Source organism: Homo sapiens, chromosome 18 (genome assembly GCF_000001405.40).
Source record: "Homo sapiens chromosome 18, GRCh38.p14 Primary Assembly".
Taxonomy (NCBI): Eukaryota; Metazoa; Chordata; class Mammalia; order Primates; family Hominidae; genus Homo; species Homo sapiens.
In genome coordinates, this window is record NC_000018.10 from 57,346,189 (window position 1) to 57,369,216 (window position 23,028).

General features: G+C 42.7%; 1 protein-coding gene across 1 annotated transcript; it reads left to right on the forward strand.

Moving 5' to 3' along the window:
* The first annotated feature begins 6,368 nt into the window (after positions 1 to 6,368).
* Positions 6,369 to 22,743, forward strand: ST8SIA3 (ST8 alpha-N-acetyl-neuraminide alpha-2,8-sialyltransferase 3). The gene is made up of 4 exons (NM_015879.3): positions 6,369 to 6,837; positions 8,214 to 8,336; positions 10,725 to 11,282; positions 13,807 to 22,743. The coding sequence occupies exons 1-4, from the start codon at positions 6,659 to 6,661 to the stop codon at positions 14,087 to 14,089; spliced, it is 1,143 nt and encodes a 380-aa protein (NP_056963.2). The 5' UTR covers positions 6,369 to 6,658; the 3' UTR covers positions 14,090 to 22,743.
* The last annotated feature ends 285 nt before the right edge of the window (positions 22,744 to 23,028 follow it).

Genomic DNA, 23,028 nt, shown 5'->3' on the forward strand with positions numbered 1-23,028 from the left:
CCTGAAGTAAATATCATTTTAAACTGGTCTCAGCATTTATGTTTAAAAATGAATACATACTCATATGCTTAGTATCTGATGCATAGATCATCTCCGGACAGCAACAGCAGCTGCTTCTTGGGAGGGTAACTGAGGCCCTGAGAGATAACAGTGGGAGGGCGTTTGTTCACAGTGCATCCTTCCTTGGCTTTATATTTTGTACTGTGTGCATGTATTAATATTAATCTAACTTAATCTAACCACTTAATTTAATTAAACATGGCCTCTTCAATAAGCGAGTCAGCTCATCCATCCCGGTGGAGCAGATCTTTCTCCACCATCAGTACTGGATGCTGACCTTCTCCCTGGCCTGGACCTCAGGGATGCCGTACAGCAAACTTCCCTGACTTCTTTTCACACTGAGCACTAGGTGGGTGCTGTGCTGGCACTAAAAGGATACAATGAACATAAGAGGTTGTCTCAGGGCCGTCTGCACAGGATTGCTAGCCCTCCCTTCCCAGGCTCCTGCCTTACTCAGCTTTCTCCAGGGACCACAGGAGGCCTCTGCATATCTTATGTACCACTCTGGTCCTTTCCTTGTTGCCCCCAACCCCTCTACCCTTGCCAACGTGCACTCCCTTCCTCAGGAACTCTGAGACACAATGAATAAGGGAGAAGGTGAAAGCCCCTCTTCCTCTGGGCTCTGGAGTACCAGTGAAACACACTGGGGCCAAATCCTCTTCTGGAACACACTAACAATATGACCTTGATAAAGTCAACCTCACTGAGCCTGATTCTGAACTCTTGAAATGGTGGTGGTCATTATATCCTCAGGGGAATGGAATAGAGATTGAATGAGATCAGTTATGTAAAATGCCCAGTGTTACACTCAACACATAGCATGTGAGCAGTAAGTGTTGGATGATATCATCGTCATCATTGTCAGTAGAAGCAATGGTAGTTCTCACTGCCAAAACATGATTGTTTCAACCTCCGCAGGCCTGTACACATCTCCAGCTCTCTGACCTGGGACTCACTTACACACAGTGTGGATTAGCAGAAAGGGTGGGCTTTCCAGCCAGAGGGGCTTTACCTTGAGCAAGTCCTTAACTTCTTTTAATGTCAATTTCTTTAACTATAAAGTGAGAATAATTTTATACCTTCCTCATAGGAGTGGGGCAAAGATTATAGATAATATCTACAATGCCCTAGCACCTAAGTGCCCTACATATCTTGGCTGTTTTGACTTTACTCCAAGGGGGCTGATCTATTTACTGGCTCCTGTCAAGACTTGCCCTCTTCTGCCTCCACATCTTTGTTCAGTTCTGTTGCCCTCCCTGCCCCGTCCTCTCTTTCCACCTCCATCTCTGGAAACTTTCATGCCTCTGTTTCATCTGAGAGATTTTATGACACTTTCTCTGACCACAGTGAATTTTCCCACAATTGAATTCGTAGACTGCTTATCTTCTGTAGGGAAATAGGAGGTGCAAATCCAGAAGACTCCAAGACCCTTCCTCTGAGTCCTCTGTTAGACTTATTAGAAATCAAGGTGTTAGGCAACAGCCGGCAGAAAGGACTCCGGTCACATGCAGCCAAAGAGCAGCTCCTCAGTGGACTCACTCTGAGCTCCCCACACGATGATCTCTGTGTTGCCTGGGAGGGGTCACTTGCCCTCCTGAAAGTCAACTCCCTGATGCCTTATTCAGGGGTGTCTCATAAAATAAAATGGCCAATTGGTTCATTGATAAATTAAGGCACACTGGGGCTTCTAGCACGTGGACAGACTGCAGGGCCACGAGGCGCGTCGGCTGACATCCGCAGGAGCAGCTGGTGTCTCACCTCCCCACGGGCCTGGCTCCAGCTGCTTTGACATCCATTCAGTGCAAATCACATTGAGTCACTCCTCTCTGTGAACTTTGGATGGTTCTGAGCAGCGCTGCGAGAGGATCCTGACCAAGTCCTCACCATGTCCCACAGGCCCATCCCGATCTGACTGTAGTCTTCTAGGCTTTTCTCTTGCAGCAGTCACCTCCTACCTCTTGCTCTTCCCCAAGCCCACCATAATCTTTCCTGCTTCTAGTCTTTCCTTTACTTGGAATGGCCTTTCTAAACTTCTGTACCTAATGAATCCTACTCATGCTTTAAAATCCAGCTCAAATGTTGTCCCCTATGAAGAACTTTGCTAACCTCCCAGACAAAGCGTGTTGCCCAGTTTTCTCAGCAGTCCTCTAGTGTGGAGCTTTTTGCGTAGTACCTCTGTTACATTTACATCCTTCTCCCCAACAAGACCATAAGCATCGTGGGGTCAAGGATGATTTTATAACCCCTGAGTCTGCCAAGCATGGTGTCTGATAACCAACACATTTCATTGCATGAATAATTAAAGAAAACAGAAATAAATGAATGAATAAACAATGCTCTTTTTGTTTTGTTTTGTTTGAGACAGCCTCATTCTATCACCCAGGCTGGAGTGCAGTGGCGCAGTCTCGGCTCACTGCAACCTCTGCCTCCTGGGTTCAAGTGATTCTCCTTCTTTAGCCTCCTGAGTAGCTGGGATTACAGGGGCCCACCACTGCACTAGGCTAATTTTTGTATTTTTAGTAGAGACAGGGTTTCATCACATTGGCCAGGCTGGTCTCAAACTCCTGACCTCAAGTGATCTGCCCGCCTCTGCCTCCCAAAGGAACAATGTTGTTTCTAACAAAATACACCACCTTTCCTGGCCTTCCCACCTAAATGGGTTCCTGGAAATTGTTCTTGGCCAGTATGGGTTGGTGAGGGGCTAGCCAGGGAGCAGAGTCATGTTCGCAAAAGGTGGGCACTCATGAGAGTGGAAGAAGGGAAGTAAGTTCCTATGTCTAGAATAACACTCTCCTAGAAAACATTACATCTGGGGGATTTTTCATTTCTGTGCTTCTTATTTTCACTCGCCTATACTCTTGCACAGGATTGATTTCCAATGAAATTTGATAAGTGATATTTTGTTAAAATGTCCTGATTTTTTTTAATTATTAAATAGCTATAATCCCAGGCCTGAAAAATCCCTTATCCAGTAGCTACAGTTGTTTTTTGAAGCACCGCCACCAAAATTATTCCCCTGGTAATTATTGAGCAATCCGTTTTCACCCATAAGCCTGTCACATGTAATAAGGATGCCTGCCTGCCTGTTTATTTTCTGGCTAATTTGGTCCCTTTACATCATGTGACCTTCAGTGGCCTGTATGCAATATGAAAATCGTCCTCCTAGGACTTTCTTTAGAAGGTTCACAGAGGTGTGCTAAGCATAAGTAATACATCAGTTTTTAAATCCAGGCAGAGCGAACCCATATCAGATGTCTCAGGAAAGCCTGCAATGCTGTTTTATAAAGGGAACAGAAGAGTTTCTTGATCTTTGCTATTCTCTGCAAGAAAATATCTCACCTAAGTACATCCTTTCGTATGCACTCTGTAGCAGGACATTTACAGGGTCAGAGAAAAAGACACTAAAAACTTACCCAAGCTGTTAGCTCATATTTATTAACTGCTTAATATAGGCCAGGGTGCAAAGGCCTTTATATGCTTTGTTTAATCTTCCCCCAAACCCTGGGAGATTTTTATCCCAGTTCTGCAGATTAGCAGACTGAAACACAGAGAAGTTGTAACTTACCCAAGGTCACCTGGCTGTGGATGCCAGAGTAAGCATTTATTTTAATTGATACATAATAATCATACATATATAGGTACATAGTGATATTTTGATACATACAATACATAGTGATCCCATCAGGGTAATTAGCATATTTGTCATTTCAAACTTGTATCATTTCTTTGTTTTGGGGCATTCAATATCTTCTCTTCTAGGTATATGAAAATATACAATACATTATTGTAACTATAGTCATCCTATAGTGCTATAGAACACTAGAACTTATTCCTTCTATCCAGCTGTAATTTTGTATCCTTTAATAAATATTTTATCCTCTCTCCCCCGTACACTTCCCAGCCTCTAGTATTCTCTGTTCTACTTTTTACTTCTTTGAGATCAGCTTTTTTAGCTTCTGTGTATGAGTGAGAACATGCGGTGTTTAACTTTCTGTTCCTGGCTTATTTCACTTAACATAATGTCCTCCAGGCTCATTCCTGTTGCTGAGAATGACAGAATTTCATTCTTACTTATGGATGAATGGGATTCCTTTATGTATATATACCACATTTTCTTTATCCATTCATCTGTTGTTGAATACTTGGGTTGATCCATATCTTGGCTATTGTGAACAATGTGGCAATAAACATGGTGGTAGATATCTCTTTGACATACTGATTTCCGTTCCTTTGCATAAACGCCCAGTCATGGGAATACTGGATCTTATAATAGTTCAGTTTGTAGTTTTTTTCAGGTACCTCTGTACTGTTCTCCATAGTGGCTGTACTAGAATGCATTCCCACCAACAGTGTATACGAGTTCCCTTTTCTCTGCATCCTTGCCAGCATTTGTTATTTTTTGTGTTTTTGATAATACCCAGAGTATGCTTTTGAAGTCAGGTCTTTCTGGCTCCACAGTCTGAAGGTGTAACACTACCCCAGGCTGCCTCTCCATAGCATGTTTCCTGATTTCTGGTTCAAGAAGACTTTTTCTAACAGGTGTCATTCCTAGATGGCTCTCTTAAGATCTTACTCCCTTTGGCATTTTACACCTTACTCATACAATCATTTTTAAAAAATAGCAATTTAAAAAAATACAGTTCAAGTGTTCATCATATCCAGGCATGCAAGCCTTTTCTAAATTTTTTTAAATAATAAAAAAGCCCCACAGAGGAAAGGAGGTTATTTGTGTCCTCCTGACACACACTTTTAGATTTTGGTTAAAAAGTCTCTAGTGGGTGCAAAGTGACCCCCTTTGTCACTGGAAACAAATAGGAGCATTCTTTGTGCCACTGTCCACAACCACACAGATATGTTTCCCAAGGGAGCTCATCAGGTCTTCAAACATTTAGCAAGCATGACATGTGTAAGAGACAGTATTGGAGAAGTAAGACAAGCCTTGCTCTGCCGAAGCTTACAATCCAGGAGCTCACCCCTTCAAGGAATTTACAGCCTCCAGACAGATAATAACATTAGGTCCATGAAAGCCTACAAGGCAAGAAGTTCAGGAGAGAAAGAAGTCATAACCATCTTGGAAGAATCTCAACTTGTTTTATCAGAACTCAAACGCCAATTTCTCACCCCTAGCTTCCCTCATTAGTGCTTATTAACTAGTATTGGGAGGACCAAGCGAAGAGTAAAGCTAGGGTAGCAGAGGCCATAAGCTAATTGCAAAGGACAGAGCTAAAGAAACATGCTAGTTTCCCCTGAGCACCCAACTGCATGACTGAAAATGGATTAATTTGTATTTCTAATGGATATACAAGAAACACGTGAATATGCTAAAATAAATTTAAGGTCAAGCAATGCAAAGTGTTAGTGCGTTTGCCTTCCACTCTCAGAGGCAGCCTCTATTATTTGGTTCTTGGGCTGCTTCATAAAAAGTTCTGTGTTTTTTAATGGCCTCAGCTTTTGGGAGGCTCAGGCCACCTAGCCCATCAGGAGACCAGGCCCGAAGGATGGATCTGAAGAGTGGGCAACGGAGAGTTAAACCAGGGCTGACTTCAACAGGCCCAGTCAAGTCAGGGGCAAGCACATTGTCCATCCACTGGAAGACGGAAAGGGGAGAGGAAGGCAGGCCCTCCCGACTCACAGGTCACCTCGCAACTTTGCTAGGCACTACCCACCCTTTAGGGATAAGTGAAGTATGTGGTGGGCATACAAGGCGCACAGGGGAGTCATTCTGGCAAATTCCAAGAAGGTTTTAAGGGCTCCCGAGGCAGGCAGGCCCAGTTGCTGTTTGGAGCTTCCTTTGGGGTGGGAGGATGGCGGGGGCAGGGGGCCGGGGCGGTGCCTTAACGAGGGGAGATGCTTTTAAATAGCTGCCTTCCAAAAACCATCCTCCCTGCTTCTTTGAGAAGCACCCAGCTGTTGTTTACCCTCCAGGACAGCAAATCCGGTTATTTGTCTCTCTATTCCGTGATATTATAAAGTAATGAATGGTCCATTAAACTAAGTTTGGGATCCCGTCTCCCCACAGCCACCTCCTCGCCGGCACCCTCAGCCGGGGAGGCCGTAGGCTCGGGCTGCAGCCTGGCAGCCTCAGTCCCCCTCCCTCCACCATTTCCCTCTACTCCCTCCCTCTCCTGCACCCCCTCCCCCCGGTTATTTGGGAGATTAGAGTTCATTAATTAAATCCTGTGCTTAGATCGAACTGTAACATTATTCCAATCACATTTATCTTGCAGGCGGCGGAGGAGATGGCAGCCTCGCTGGAAACGCGCGGGGGAGCCTGAGCCGGCGGCCGGGGACGCACGGCGCTGCGCGCTCCTTCGCCACGCCGCCGCGCAGCCCCTCCATCTTCCTGCTCGGCACCGGGCCCCGCGCGCCCCTGCCTACGGGGTCCCGCTGCTCTCCGGGGCTCCTGCCAGCCCCAACCCCCGGCCCCGGTGGCCTCCCCCCACCCCCGCCCGGGTCCCCCTCCTCCGCCACACGCGCGCGCGCTCACACACACACACACACACACACACACACACACACACATATATACACGCCAGCGAGCTGCTGGCCGCTCAATGGACCGATTTCCCCGGTTTCCCTGAACCCAGCCCAGCCCGGGATGAGAAACTGCAAAATGGCCCGGGTCGCCAGTGTGCTGGGGCTGGTCATGCTCAGCGTCGCCCTGCTGATTTTATCGCTCATCAGCTACGTGTCCCTGAAAAAGGAGAACATCTTCACCACTCCCAAGTACGCCAGCCCGGGGGCGCCCCGAATGTACATGTTCCACGCGGGATTCCGGTGAGTGCGGGCCTCTGTGTTAGTGCCCTCGGGAATTTGGTTGATGGGGTGTTTGGGGAAGGGAAGGCGTGGGGGAGGGGTGTTTTGGCCTCTCCGAGACTCTTTGGGCCAGATAACTGCGCGGTCCTTCCACTCCTCTCTCTAATTCTCCCTTCCCCCTCCCTGTTATTTTTTTTTTAACCCAAAGCCCCTAGAAGCCGCTGTCCAAATCGATGTGATTGCATTTCTCGTATTCTTCCTCAGCATCCCTTCCCTCATTTCAGAAATGGGGGTTGGGGGAGGCTTTCAGGAGGGTGAGGGTGGAGGGAAAGACGGTGTGTTTGTTCGGGAGGGGGCGGCGAGCAGAGATGGACAGGCGTGAGGGGAGCGCCCTCCCCGCGCCCTGTCCGCAGACTCCGCGGGCCGGGCCCGGGGCGGTGCTGGCGGTTTAATGGCGCAGGCGCCGGACTCCCCTCGCGCCCTCCTCCTTTACTCCCCCACGCCTATCAAAGGACACGCGGGTTTATTCTCAGGAAGCCCCTGGGGCGTTCTCTCTCAACCCTTTCCCCCGCAGCCACCGCCCCCCACCAGCTTTCCGGGATTTCTGCAATTCCCCCGCCCCCTGCGGGAAGCGAGCCTCGGAAGGGCCGCCCACCCTCGCCAGGTCGGAGTCACCGCTCCGCGCTGGGCCGGCCTGTGAAGGCTCCAGGCGCAGCTTGACGCCGCTCTGCGAGAGCCCCCGCCCCGCTCTGTGACCCCGGGAACTCTCCCAGCAGGGCCTCCTGACGGGCAGGTGGCAACTACAAAGTGCCACCTGTGGTCCAAGCTGGGACCGAGGCGAGGAACCCAGAGGAGCCTCGCCTGGACCGAGGAGCGGAGTAGGCCGGCGGCCCCCGGGGGTCCCCAGCCAAGTTATAGGAAGTGAAATCGGACGTGGGTTTGGGAAGGAAGAGGTTAAGGCAGGAACCACCCCCAGACTTTCCCTGGGTCTCCGGTTTCCTCTGCCCTTTCTCCAAAAACAATTCTATGGGGCTGCAAAGGCGTAGCGGGTCAGGCTGGCGGGGCGGCCGCTGTCCGCGGTGCTGATTCCCTGGTCCTCGCAGCGCCGCGGGCTCCAGCCCTGCGCCCGGCGTGCGCCCTGCTCTCCGCATGACGGCCATTTTATGGTCTCTCCGGCACCCGGAGGGATGGACAATGCAGATGGGGTTCCCTAGTTTTCTTTTTTTCTCTCGGGTGTGTGTGGGAGCAGAGGGTGGACCAAATGAGAGGGGCTCCGGGACGGAACGGAGCCCGCACGCGTACCAGCCGCCCTCGCCCCAGCCGCTGCACTTTAATGGCTACCTCGGCTTCCCCGAGCTGAGGCCAGCACGCTTGTCTGTGCTCATGCTCCTCTCCAGGTCACAATTTGCGCTGAAGTTTCTAGACCCGTCATTCGTGCCCATTACGAATTCTCTCACCCAGGAACTCCAAGAGAAACCTTCTAAGTGGAAATTTAATCGGACAGCGTTTTTACATCAAAGGTAGGATAGGAGGAAAAGATCCAAAAGGTGCTTTTAAGAATTCAAGAGCTCAAAACAAAACAAAACAAAAACAAGCAAACAAAAACATCTAAAACAACAAACATCTATACGCCCCACCCTCACCATCAGGTGTATCTGCATTGTTTTCTTGGCATGACTGCACAAAGCAATGATCAGGAACCTTCTCCTGTGTGTGTAGTGTCCTCTCATAAAAAGGACATATCAGGACCAATTTGAATAGCAAAAAAAAAAAAAAGCATTCCACTTGGGCTTGATTGAGCACCATGATTTACAGCTAACAAGTCTGGCAAGTACTGCCAAAGCCATCTATTTAAAAAAAAAAAACAGACAAAAGGTTAGTTGCAAAAAGACCACCCAATGCATTTTCATTTCCTCACTGAAAAAAACTTGAAAAATAGAATAAAGTGGTATTGTTTCTTTGAAACACACGGAAAATGCCATAATCTGTCTCCATCAAATTACTCGTGAAAATGCTGGCCCAAATGTATGTAGATATTTAACTATGGTTTTGTTTTGGTTTTGCCTGTTTTCATTGTCTTTACAGCTTTTAACTTACTGTAAAGGTACCTAACTTAATTCCTACTAATTGTAGCGGTTTCATTTTATACACATAAGATGGTTTTGAGGTTTTGTTTTTTTAGGTGGAAGAAGGATGAGATTTGTTCAAATGTATTTATTCTGCTCAGTGATTCTGGTCTACTCTTAGCAAACCACGATAACTCATTACTCCTTCCTTCATGGTGGGATTATTTTACTGCTAAATGGGATGTGAGCCATCTAGCGTATTCATTAGAAGTGTGAATACTTATTTTACAAACCACTCTATTTAGGGAGTTGTGTTTTGATCTTAGCATTTCTAGTTATTGCTCTCTCTCTCTTTTAAAAGTTTAATCTATGGGCAGAATTAAAACAAATTCAGTGGGTATTCATGGTCTCATGAAAATACTGTTCAGATGAAAAGTCAGCATACAGTCATATGATTAACATTTTAAAAACACTTATGTTTAATTATAAATTAGTTCATGAAAATTGATCAATTCTAAAACTCTAGAAGTGTTTTTTTAATAATTGGGTTTTAATTCAATATTAATTTTATGGACAACCCAGAACGTTTTCATGGGTAGAACACATTCTAGCTTTCCCCAAAACATGTTTCTAACTCAATAAAAAATATTCTTCCCACACTAGGCCATGTGACCCAAATGACCAGTCAGAAGAATATTTCCTTCTCAAAACTTCGCTCATTTTAATTAATTAGATAATCTTTCATTAAATTTTTACCAGTAGCATTTTAAATCTGCCTTACCTTTTTAACAACTTGTAAGAGTGGTACTGGTAACTTGGGGAGTTTCAAAGATTTCAGTTGCTGTTGCCTCTATTTTGAAGAATGAAGTCATTTTTAAATTAAAATTCCAAGCAACGGATGATGTGCAAAGCATTTCATTTCATTCCTGCTACATTTAGGCAAAAGTTATAAGAAATTCACTGGGTTTACTTAACATCGGAGAATCTAGCAGCAGTAGCATGTTACCAGTCTCTCTTGAATGTTTTAAATAGCTAAACTTTAAGAAGAGATACTTAATTTTACTTAAAGCTCAATATGAAAGCAACGTGAAATTAGTTCTAAGTATCAGTCTTGCCTTGTTTATGTACTGAATTGCTAGAATATGGAAATATTTTCAGGATTTATAATAGCCATGTTTTCTAAGGATTAGATTTATTCAACTAAATTGTGTTTCTATATAATCAAGTAGAAAAAACTCCCTGTTTCATTATTCAAAGGACCTTAATGAGATTATCATCTCATTTCTATTAAATATTCAGCTACACCCACTGCTATTACCATCTTCATATTTTAATAATAGATAGTGCTGTACTGACTCATATCTATTTGGCTCTTATTTGGACACCACTGATATTTGATATTCTTTGAGCACTTCAGTCCAGTAGCAAACAAGTAGACCCTAGTTACAAACTATGTGTTACTAATGTTTGTGCATTAATGTGAGCTCTTTCAGGCCTGTGTAAATTGTCTCCCTGTATTTTCTGACACAATTTGCCCTATACCTCCCTGCTGATCAAATAAGATACACTCTTCACGTAGAGCAGAAAACCAAGGTATGGCAGCTAAAACTGTAAGTTGCATTTACAAGCCTCAAAGAATACACCCAGAAATTGACTGAAAGATTAGAATATGCGGAGATTCTGAAGCAGTCCTCCCTTCAAGGACCACAATTATGTATGTATAATCTTTTTTGGATTCAATGAGCCTAAGATTCCCTCTGAATGAAATGTCAGCATAAGTCATAAGATGGAAAATCAGTTCTTCTGAATGGAATGCTTTTCATGAATTTCTTTTTATTTTAGGCAAGAAATTCTTCAGCATGTCGATGTAATAAAAAATTTTTCTTTGACCAAGAATAGTGTTCGGATTGGACAACTGATGCACTATGATTATTCCAGCCATAAATATGTTTTCTCTATTAGCAATAACTTCCGGTCACTTCTTCCAGATGTGTCACCCATTATGAACAAGCATTATAATATTTGTGCTGTGGTTGGAAATAGTGGGATCCTGACAGGGAGCCAGTGTGGACAAGAAATAGATAAATCAGATTTTGTTTTCCGTTGCAATTTCGCCCCTACGGAGGCTTTCCAAAGAGATGTTGGAAGAAAAACCAATCTTACCACCTTCAACCCCAGCATCCTGGAAAAATATTACAACAATCTCTTGACTATTCAGGACCGTAACAACTTTTTCCTCAGTTTAAAAAAGCTTGACGGGGCCATTCTTTGGATCCCTGCATTTTTCTTCCACACTTCAGCAACTGTGACCAGGACATTAGTTGACTTTTTTGTTGAACACAGAGGTCAGTTAAAAGTCCAACTGGCTTGGCCGGGAAATATAATGCAACATGTCAACAGGTGTGTATATTTTATTACATTTTACTCATACTCCACCAGATGGCAAATCAATGTTGTAATCTCTTGGGGGTGGGAGCCATCCAATTCATTAGTTGTTGTGGTGAGTTTAGTAGTAATTAGAAGAAACTCATATGTTTTGTAATGAGCGAATGAATGAATCATTCTAGCTAAGAAGTTCCATCTACCCACAGCTGGTAACCAAGTGTCAGATGGAAGGATTGGGGCTTCATCAGTCTCCCGTCTCTATTCTCTGTCCTCTCCCTTGGTAGTAAGGCTATGGAGCAGTCATGGAAATCACCACAAATCAAGAATTTTCTTTAAATAGATAGCTATATTCCAAGAATGCCAATGGCTAAATTAGAGACAAATCAAGTGGTTTTTCTTTTTAGAAACGATGCAGTTGACTTAAATTTATGTTTTGTAGATGTCCAAGGTTAGCAAAACACCTAAATCATAAATTGCACAATCTGCCTTTATAATCTGATATTTGAGTGCAAAAACATGAAGAAAGTATTTTATGAGCATGTTGTTATCTCTTGGGATTTGATAGACAGATTAGCCAGAGATGCAATATTTTCTTCTAGTCTGGTGATTTTCAACTCTGGTTGTATATTAGAATCACTTGAGAGCTTTAAAAATACTATTGTCTAGGCTCTGCCTCAAGAGATCCTAATGTAAATTATCTGGTGGGCAGGGAGGTGGAGGCCAGGTACTTGGTATTTTTTAACAACTCTCCTGATGATTCCAATATGCAGTCAGAATTGAGAACCACTAGTCCAGGGCATTTTATAAAACAAGATTAATTGTAGATTTTTTTTCTTTTAAATCATCTGGAGAAAATTATCTCAACTTCAGTTTCCCCTATGTAAGTAGCCTCAGTGTCCTAACATAGCCCTAAATATTATTATAAGTTGGGGTGGGTTCTGGAGACCTGGTAAACAGGGAATTCTGAAGATCTTTATTCCACAATAGATTTTTCCCATCCCGTAGCCTCTTAAGATGTAAGATCTGTTTAGTTGACCTCTCATAGGAGGAGGAATTACAGCCTAATAAACTGGTTTGTATCTCAATGGTAGAGGGTAGAGTGATGCCATAATTTACAGTCCAAACTGGAACATTTTCTTTGAGAGAAAGAGGGTGCTATTAATAATTACAACACAGATAACTGACAAACTGGGACTGTCCCAGTTCCCCAGGATATATGGTCACCTTTTTAAGTGGTGATGTAGCCCAGCTCCTAAGTTTAAAGATGAATCAACTGAGGTACAAGGAGCAGAAGTTATTTACCCAAAGTCACTGCCCTAAATGAGCAAGACTAGAGTTAGAAGTCAGGTCTCCTGCCAACCTGTCCCATGGTCTTTTGATCTCCTTATTTTGCTCCCCTTTTGTTCAATTTAAGTTTGTCTATACCGAAAGGGTTGTCAGAGTCATTCTAGTTCCTTAGACAGGAATAGTAAAACCAAGACTGAACTTTTAAATTTCATTTGGAAGGGGAAAGGTTCACCTTTGAAATCTTCAAGTAGTGAAGAAGAAACTGCATGTGCTTAGAAACTTCCAGAAACTATCCTGTGTGGCTGCCTGCCACAAAAGTGGAGTTAATCATAATGTTTCTTAGCCACTCGGGCCTCAAAAAAATACATGGGTTCAATGAAAACGGGAAGGAAATACAGTCCACAGAAACCTGACTAATGCACAGTTTCATTCTGCCTGCATCTCCAATGATAAATACACACACCACATAGAAGCCTCAAATATTTGGCGGTGTCAGCAGGAAGGCTTCAGAGTATTAATATTATTTAAATATGGAAGGACTAATAACTATAATTTATTATTTACACTTAATGTATCTTACACACTTTCTGAATTTAAAAAATTTAGCATGCCAGATTGTGGCATGCTGAAGATGGGCTTGGGAACCCCTAGTTAGAAGAGAAAGAAGCAAGGAATACAATTATTTGCAAGAGAGAAGAAAAATAAGGCTCCACAATCTTTCTAAACCCCGAATGAAGGGTTTATTTCTAGGTTTGAGAAAGGAAGAGACGGAGGAGTTTCCCTTAGATTAAATGACCTCCTTCACCCTATCCAAGAACACTTTATGTAAGAAAAGCACAGTCATTCTTTTTGGTGGCCTTCTGTTGTGTCACCGCTGGGTCAGAGCCACACCACTCTTTAGAAAAACCCAGGGGCAGCTTCAAAGGCCAGCTTCAAAGGTGTGCAAACAGTGTGATCCCAGGAAATCCCATGCTCAGAAGGGCCCAACACTTGGTTTAATACTTTGCTCTTGCACTCGAAATTTTCAATACTTTTTGAACCAAGACTCCACATTTTTATTTCTTACTGGATCTCACAAATTATGTAACCAGTTGTGCCCAGAAGTTGTTTTTGGTTGCCTAAAATATAATTTCAAAACAAGCACTATTTAAGTTACAGTAACAAATCCACTACCCAGCCCAGTCAGATAGACCTTGCTGATTGAAACTTTCAACGCTGACCTCTGAATCCAAATGTACTTATTGTTCCACAGGTACTGGAAAAACAAACATTTGTCACCTAAACGGCTGAGCACAGGTATTCTTATGTACACCCTTGCATCAGCAATATGTGAAGAGATCCACTTGTATGGATTTTGGCCGTTTGGATTTGACCCCAACACAAGGGAAGATCTTCCATACCATTACTATGACAAAAAAGGAACCAAATTTACCACCAAGTGGCAGGAGTCCCACCAGCTGCCTGCTGAGTTTCAGCTGCTGTACCGAATGCATGGGGAAGGGCTCACCAAGCTGACTCTGTCACACTGTGCCTAAGAACTCCAAACGGAAAGCGCCAAATGGCTGTTTAAAAAGTGCCCCAAATCAAATTGAATAGCCTTCAGAATAGAACCCTAGAGAATGTCTTATAAGGATTGTCTGCCATTTAAAAGGAAAGATGTCTTTTCTCTTTTGCACTGCTCTTTTAAGAGTTTTAGCAGATTTAGCAGGACAGATGCATTGAAGCCACATGGTTTAGACTTGATTGATAAAGGGAATGTTGCATTTGGGACTATGCTGCTAACGAAATGGTTTGAAGTATTTTCATGTTTGGATTTTAATAATAAACTGCCTCTCATTTTTATGAGGACTAGAGCTATAGTTTCTGCAGCTCTGCTCAGATAGTCCTCATAATCAGAGGCCTCTGGCCAACTGGGGCAGGACCTGTTTTGCTGGTGGGATCAGACTCTGAAAAATGGAAACGTAAAAAACTGGTTTGCATATCTCATCTTCTATCTATCTCCCTATCTCCATCTCTATCACCATCTCACTCCTTCCCTCTGCAACTACTCCCTGCCCTACCACCGTGGAGTTTAATAATTTGCTAGGAATCCTATTGAATTCGCTTTGCTTGTATATGTTGCATTTGTACTTGATGTGTTTAAGGTTCTGGGTAACTTTGATGCTTCATGACAAAATAGGCAAATCACGATGGACTCCCTTGTGATTCCTTTTTTAAAGAAATGCCTCTGATGCAGTCCTCACCAGTCCATTCAGTCATTCTACAGCAAGATGGTCCCTCTGTGGTGAGTGGGATATAAGGCAGTGCATCTTTCATGATCACAAAGAAAGCCTATGTTGTGGATAGCATTGCGTCTCTTGATGTAGGCATTGTTATGGCAAATAATAGCACTGTGGCCACATCTGTAAGGCCATTCCAGCCTAAATTTAGTGTCTCCCATAATCCCAACCCATGCACTAGGCTGGGTGTTCTCTCAGAATATAGAGGCAATGAATCAGCTTAAGACCCTGGGACACACAAAGGAAAAGGAAGAAGAATATTTAGAAGTTGTTATGGAATCCTGTGTACCCTAAAGTGTGGTAACCATGTTACCCATTCCAGCTGGGTTAAAGTGGAGGAGGATCTTGGCCAGGCCAGGTGCCCAGGTGACTAGTGCTGAGGTGCGATCGTTTTCCGTATCATTGTGTGCACCACCACCAATCCAGAACCATTTGCTCTCTTTGAGAACATTGTAGCACTGGATATTCCCTCTTTCCACTGAAGTCAGATCTATACAACTACAAATTAAGCATTTCAAAAGAAAAAGCCATTGTGCAGTGGCAAGAGTTGGAATCCAAGATTATGTAGACCTGCGATGAAGGAAGTAGCTGGCCATTCTCATTTTCTTTATTTCAGCCATATGAGTAGAAATCAAATCATTCCCATCCCTGGCTTTTTACTGAGCAGCACTTTGTTCTTCCAATTCAGCCCAACGTCTGGCCAAGTTGATGTTAAATTTTAATAAGAGTTTCTTTCTTCTTTCCAAATGCCAGTCAAGCATATTTGTTATGCATTTGAGTGGGGTAGCTCATTCTTTTCCTGAAATCTCATCTAGATTGCTTGCAATGCGACAAATAACTGTTTAAAAAATGTGCTGTAGTTCAGTGATGAGCTCATTGCCCCTCTTTAGGAAGGTAAGATCATGCCTAAAATTAAACCGAATATGGTAAGGAAAGACACTATCGTTATGCTCACGTTCTGCCTGGTCCTAAACCTGCCTTATTATTATTTTCAGAAAGCAATCTAATTAGAGCAACTTGCATAGATCTAGATATTAACTAATGAAAGAAACACCAAGTTCAAATGTGTTACCAATTATGACACACATTACAATATAATTATAAGGGGAGACATTAAAAACATTTTGTAATTCAGTGGTATAATTTGATGGGTATCACAACCACACCGTGTTTGTTCCCTGTCCCTTTGAAGAGGACTGTACTACCATCCTCACACTGTGCTCTGTTGGGATCACTGAGAGATTGACAACTGACAGAAGTGTTTAGTTGGCTGTTCCTGAGCACTTAGTTCATTTGGTTATAGCTAAGTGATATTAATGCCAATATTACTTGGGCCAGATTCTGACTCTGGAGTTTTAATCCCAATGTGCCCATTCATTTTCACTAAATATAAATGCATAGACACTTTAAACCAAGAAGATTAAAAGAGGAAAAGACCAGAATCTCTAAAAAACAGTTTACTGTTCTGTAGTGGACAATTTAAATTTTATCTCATCATAATGCCAAGGATTTTTGTTTGTTTTTTAAGTTCAGGGAGATTTTTTAAATCTCCTTGCAGTCTTGGCTCCATCTTAACCTTAGAGTGGGAGGACTTTCCCATCCCCCACCACCGTGTTATCTATCACTTTAATGAAAACTCAAAATAGTGAGGAAATGGACTTTTCTTCAGAACTTGAGGGGTTTAGAGATCAGGCTCATCTCTGCTTATAAGGAGGACTTCCTGGAGATGATCCCAATAGATCACCCTTCACTTTTGAAGAATAGCAGCTTCTAGCTGACCATGCAAAATCTCTGTTTGTTTTTAAAGACTGTTTCAAAGATTAAATCTATACAACCACTTTTATGACCAAAAAAGTTGTTGTGTCCCAAGTGTCCTAATTAGAAAGGCAGCTGGCTCTCCTGCAGCTCCCAGGCTTGTGTAGTCAAGTGCAGTGAACTGGGCAGTAATCAGCTCAGGACCATTGGCTCTTTCCTCCTCTTTCAGCTACAGACACATGCCCTGGCTTTTGCATTGACCTTGCTTTGTTAGTTCTAGACTAATTTATCCTTTTGTCAGACACTTTCCCTTTTTTAGGATACTCACAACAGAGTCCACTTTCAGCTATTGGAATACATTTTACCATAAAGCCCCCAAGGCTTTCTACCCATAACACCAACACAAAAAACCAATTAAGTTGCAGAGGGGGGAAATAATCACAAACTTTTGGCAACCTGCTTAATGCTAGACGCTCTGTTTTCACTGGTTATTCTGAGTGTCATATGCAGATGCAGATCCAAGGGAGACAGGGCTAAATGGTGGTGTCAAGAATTCCTCCCACACCCCAAAAATTCTTTCCAATATTTGATTATTAAAATATCTATCATTTCTCCACCTTGTGTCTGTGTCTTAAGTGTCTGTGAATATTGTAAAAGTGCTGTATGTTTAGTAGTGTTGTGTGCCTGGCAGTGCTGACTATGACTACTGTGCCATCTGTCTGTGACCTTGATGTCAGGTACCTGGCCATGGGGCTACCAGCAAGGATGTGCAAAGGAAGAACCGCTGCCCCTGCCCTCAGCTTCCTTATGCCCGAGCCACTACTTATCCGTGAATGTGAGTGCCAAGAGAAACCTAATTTGGTGGGGAAGCCAAGGAATGGGAGAACGTTTTTTCTGATTTGAGTCAAGGCACTAATTATTAGACACTCTCAGACAACAAAGCGGTATTGACCTGAGATCAAAGGAAGCAGGGACAATATTGTAGAATGCTAGGACACTGGAAATGAAGAGGCCTTCAGCTTCGCCAGTCTTGATTCTTGACTTTACAAATGAGAAAATGGAGAAACAGGGAGGCTAGGTGATTTGCCCCAGATGACACTGTCAATTAGTGGAGAAATTATGATTCCTCCTCTAGTACTTCTTGGTCTTACCAGCATCAAATGAAGCTGGGCTCACAGGGAAAGTGGTTTTTGGTCTGGGATCTGCAGAGCACATAAAATAAGTTAGAAAGTCTATAAAAGAGGAAAAAAGGTTCTCCTCTCCCTCCCAAAAATGACTTCCCAACACAGAACAATAAAGGAGATGCTTGTGTGGGTATGCAACTGTCCACCAATTATCACCTACCTTCTCCCTGAGATGAAACAAAACACGCTTGGTAAATCATGATTTGATAAATAACAATTAAGTTACTGGTGGTTCATGCTTGACAGCTGCAATCTTACCCAATAAGCTATTCATCTTAGTAAAACCTTGTTTTAGTAATATACATGCATAATTTAGAAGTTGAAGGCTGAAAATTGTTGTGTTCTTCTCCATATATATACAACTTTCATCGGGGTCCCTTGAGTTAAGAAATGCCTTCTATTTTATAGGTAATCTCAACAGCAGACTTTGAAATATTGTGTTTGGTTCAATATGCTAAGAAGATATACAAATAATAATAACTTCGTGAGTCTTCATGTGCAAAATGACAAACTGAGCAATTTTCTGTATAATTCTAGATTCTTAAAACCTTTTTTCCCATAATTGTTTGAATGCACTAGGCACAAGTTTCTGTTTAAGCCTCTGCTTCTCCCTGAATGTGTAGAACTGTCACTTTGCTTACAAAGGGGCTGTGTGTTTGTGGCTGGCAGCCCAGATAGAGCACTCTGGGTGCTGGGGATTGAGGGCACCTTGGCCAGCTGATTGACCTGTCTGGACTCTGTGGCCCAATTAATCGAGGCCACAGATCAGTTGGTACTAAGCATCAAAATGATTCATTATGCCTCTCTCACACTCCGATTGCTTTGCCACATAGATAACAGCATTTGAAATGGGAAACACTTTAGAATGTCATTATTGTATTATATATTGTCATCTTATGCAGTATTTCTGAAAATTTATTTTTATTGTGATGACTGATTGAAGACATATGTGTATGAATAGATGTTCCTCAGTGAAGCCTATTCTCTTGTTGTTGATGACAGTGGCATCAGAGTGAAGAGTTGTTGCAGAGTAACTGACTTCAGTTTAAGGTTACCCTGGGGTTCTGGGGTTAGGACCCGGATTATGCAGCTGATCTCCCAGCAAACACAGCTGTATGAAATAAGCAACTCTTCAAAATACAATTCTTGCCACTCATTCTGGACCTTTGATTCATAATGTCCTGGGATAAGTCCAACTTACAAAGATTCCCAGGTGATTCGTGTGACCACCATTTGGAAACCAGTAATATATACATCCGGAGTCATATATACCATTTTGAACAAAGTAGCTAAATGCTTATCTCTCCTTGTGCGATTAGTTTCACATGTTCGTTGAGGTTATCATGTTAAATGGCAATATAGACACAGTCTTAGTGATTCAACAATTCAGCTGTTTCAGCCGAATTGACCAGTTGCTAATTTATAAGCAAATTGTAACTGATCAATTTAGTCAGAATGGATGCAAGCCCAAAGACAAGGTGGAGAGCAAGCTTTAATATACACTTTGTCTCAAGGCCAGCTCTTCATATTTCCCTCTTTATATTTCAAACTAAGAGGCAGATCTCAGGTCACTCATCTTTAGAATTGGTGAGAATGAGAAACAGGGAACTGAAGTGATTCATTCAGATTCAATTTGGAAGTCATTCCCAGAGCCTAAAATATTTATCTAAGGGGTCTGATTTATCAACCTCAGGTAGTCTCCAAAACACAAAGGTATTCAGGCTAAAATAAAACCAATCAAAAAAGGAAATTCAGGAGGCTCCAGTTCTAAGACTAACCCAGTATAACAAGGGTGATCAGTTATTACTTGTGGCCTTGTACCACCTCTGTTGGATAATGTGCCACCGTCCTAATGAAGCTTTGGCCAGACTTCTTTCTATAGCTGTGCACATAGAAAGGCTTTAGACAACAGTGATACCAAAGGGTTCCTTTGATTTTCCTTCTGTGTGATTCTCAGACAGTTTTAGCTCTTTGGTGTGCTGCCAAATGTTTAACAACTGGCTCTGGAAAACAGTGGAACCCAGATTTTTAGCACCTACCAATTTCTATGGTGTAAATACTCTCATCTCAGCCAATTTCAGGCTACTAACTTAATGTCAACCAGCTGAAAACACAACAATATGTTTTCAAGAGCCAGTATAAGTTGGCTCCAATACAGCATGAGCCAGCTCCAGCATAGCACTGCCTGAACAATTTTTAAGTCAGTGAGTACCAAATAGGAGAGGCTAGCAGAGGCTTTGGAGGGACTTTTAAATGTCCCCTCCACCAAGGGAAGCATTTCCATGTTGGTTAGTTTTACTGATTTTTAGTAAAAGAGCATATTATTGGATCCCAAGGTGTTCAAATATTCCACGTGACTCTTAGGAACCTCTCAACAGACTCCCCAGTATCTTGGGAGATTACCAACTGTGGCTTTTCTAATTTCTAAGGGTGACCCTCCAGGAAAACATTCTTTAATTTAACTACCAGTTAAAACCATGTTTGGCTGATCTTTTTTAAAAAATCTATACCTATAGTTCATCACTTGTTTCCCCAACTTTGTCATTTTCCCTATCCACTTGCCCCTCATCCTTCTGACACAATAAAAAAAATACAGGTACCCACAAAACAGTGCCTGCAAAGGAGCAGGGGAAGAACAAGGCACCCAGTAAGCTCACTTGGCTCTACATATCTGGAAAGGCACTGAGGTTCCAAGGTCTCTACCCCACCAGGGGACACCCAGTAAACATCACGCTGAGAGTTTAAGTTGCACTCAACTGGAGTTGATTTGCCCTTAGAAAAGTTTCCAACGGTGAAGAAATACCACTTGGTAGGAATATCTCTGGGCAACTTCATTGCTGACTGGGCAAACTTTGTAGGATAAGGTGTCATGTGATGTAAGGCTGGACCATGAAAAACAAAAATCTACTAATACACATTTGGCCCCTGCAGTCCCCTGGCATTGAGCAATAGAGCAACTGTCCTTTCTCACCACTAGTTGTGAGTGTACTTCCAACTGAGTGTTTAGAAATCAGGTAATCTGGTAATCCACAGAACAAGCTTTGTTTGCAAATTGCAAATTTTTCTGGTAGAAGTCATTCTTAGGTGGGCTTCATTAAATCTTTGGAGAGGCAATGCTGGGAAAAAATATGCCTAATTCCTAGGACACAGTGAGTGGCCGTAAGTTGTTATCTGCATGTACTAAATCAAAATTAGATCATGAAGGACCAAATCTACTTCCGTTGCTATAATAAAATACCCTACAGGTTCTGTAAGGCATTTCTAAACTGTAAATGCTTGAAACGCAAGTTGGACATTTTCTATACTATGTGTAAAATGCCAGGTTATACCTCTATTTTCTTTCTTCCTAATGGTCATTGAAATGAGCTTGTTTCTCTACATTGAGCAAGCTACATTTTATTTTAAATGAGTCAGGTGCATGTTCAGATGTCTGTATTCCCAATACATTGCATGCAGCCTGAGCACAAGTATGCCTTCACCCTCTGGCTCTTTTCCTGACACCAAACAGAGAAGTCCACAGCTACAAGCACAAGGGGCTTGACAGGTAGGCCTTGTTTTATTATGAACAAATTCACCAGAAAACCATTCTTGAGGAACCAGCCACTCCCATAGCATTTTTAGTCTTAGGGAAGAAAATTGGCAGGGAAGAAAAATTGGCAGACAATGGGAAAGAGGTTTGGTCAACCTGCATAAGTGGAATAAAGTCATTGAAGTACTTGCAAAAAGAAGAGGGAGGTTTCCCTCTGAAGGAATCTAGACCATTTTTTAATATGGAGAATAACTGTACCCCATGTTAGAAGTGCTCTTTAGCCATATTTCAAGATCCAGATCTGAACCCATACTGTGCAGAAAAGCACAAGAGCGCTTACAGCCAAGAGCCCTGGGAGGAGTTGAGTAACAGGCTGAGATCCGGTCACCAAGCATCATTAGTTAGCACTGAAATTCTCCCAGGACACAAAACAAATGTATGGAAACATCGCAATACACTATCATTTACTCACATGGGACAACCACCTAAGTCCATAGCAAAACTTTACAGATCTAGATGTTATCTCAAGTCAGGATTCCAGATCAACATCCTCCATGTGGAGATGAGACAACTGAGGTTCAGAAAGTTGGAGTGACTTATTTGCCCAGCTAGCTAACTGGAATTAGAGTCTGGGTCTCCCAACCACTGATTCTGCTACACCACACTGTGCTGCTTCCATTAGTTAGATGGACATTGACAATTAATTGTGAAAGCATTAATTAGAAGTCAAGACAAAAGAATGTTTGTGATATCTTCTCTCGCTTAACATACTTTGATTTCACCATTGCATTTCAGCATTTTAAAGAATAGTGTATCAGTATAGAAGGAGGAGCAAAGCTCTTTAAGAGTAATGATGAAACCAAAAGGTCAAAAAGTAGAAGAATAGCGAATGTAAGTTATTAAATAAATGAGCAAGAAGTATGTGTCAGGGAAAATAAATGCTTCTTATATTGTTAATACCGTGATTCCCTGCCCGCTCACCCCGTCACTCAACACTTGATGCATTTGTTTTGGAAAGTGCCATTTTATGCTGAGATACTGGTATTGAAAACTTCCCTCTTTCCCAACTCTGTCAGAAGTTCTCTTGCTCTTTGGAAGAAGCCGAGGGCCTTAACAAATCAGACTGACCTCCCTTGTGACAGGCAGCCTCGCCTGCCCTTGGAAACAAGCTGCCAGAATGTGAGGGCCACAGAGACCCAAGAGAAGCCAGCACTGCTAGACTGAGGAACTTGTAAATATCTTCTGCTTTCTTGGTGAACAAGGACAGAGGCAATTGCGTGTATATTGTGACTGTAGTTTGTGAAGAAAATGCAACCATTTGCTTCGACAGCTCCTCAAATGTACTTGTTAAGTGTGAATGTGCCTGCCTCATTGCCTTGTGTTCCAAACACAGTACTGAATGCGTTGTTTTTAAATAAACCATTTCGTTTTGCTTTGGGAAACACTGCTGGTTGTCTGTCACATTCGGGAGAGCCCCCACACACACATACACACACATACATGTGCTAACACATACTCACATTTCATCCAGTGAAGAGATTGAATGCTTCCTCCTGTTTTATATTCTCAGTGTTTTGAGGTCGTTGGAAATTTGTAGGACCCCAGAAAGGGTGAGCTTGGCTGTCTACAGCCATGAACAAGCAGGAAATACTCAAAGTCCCTACACATAACTTTTCCATTGGTCCTTTAAATGCTAATCATGTGACAGGCCTTAACATTATTAATAA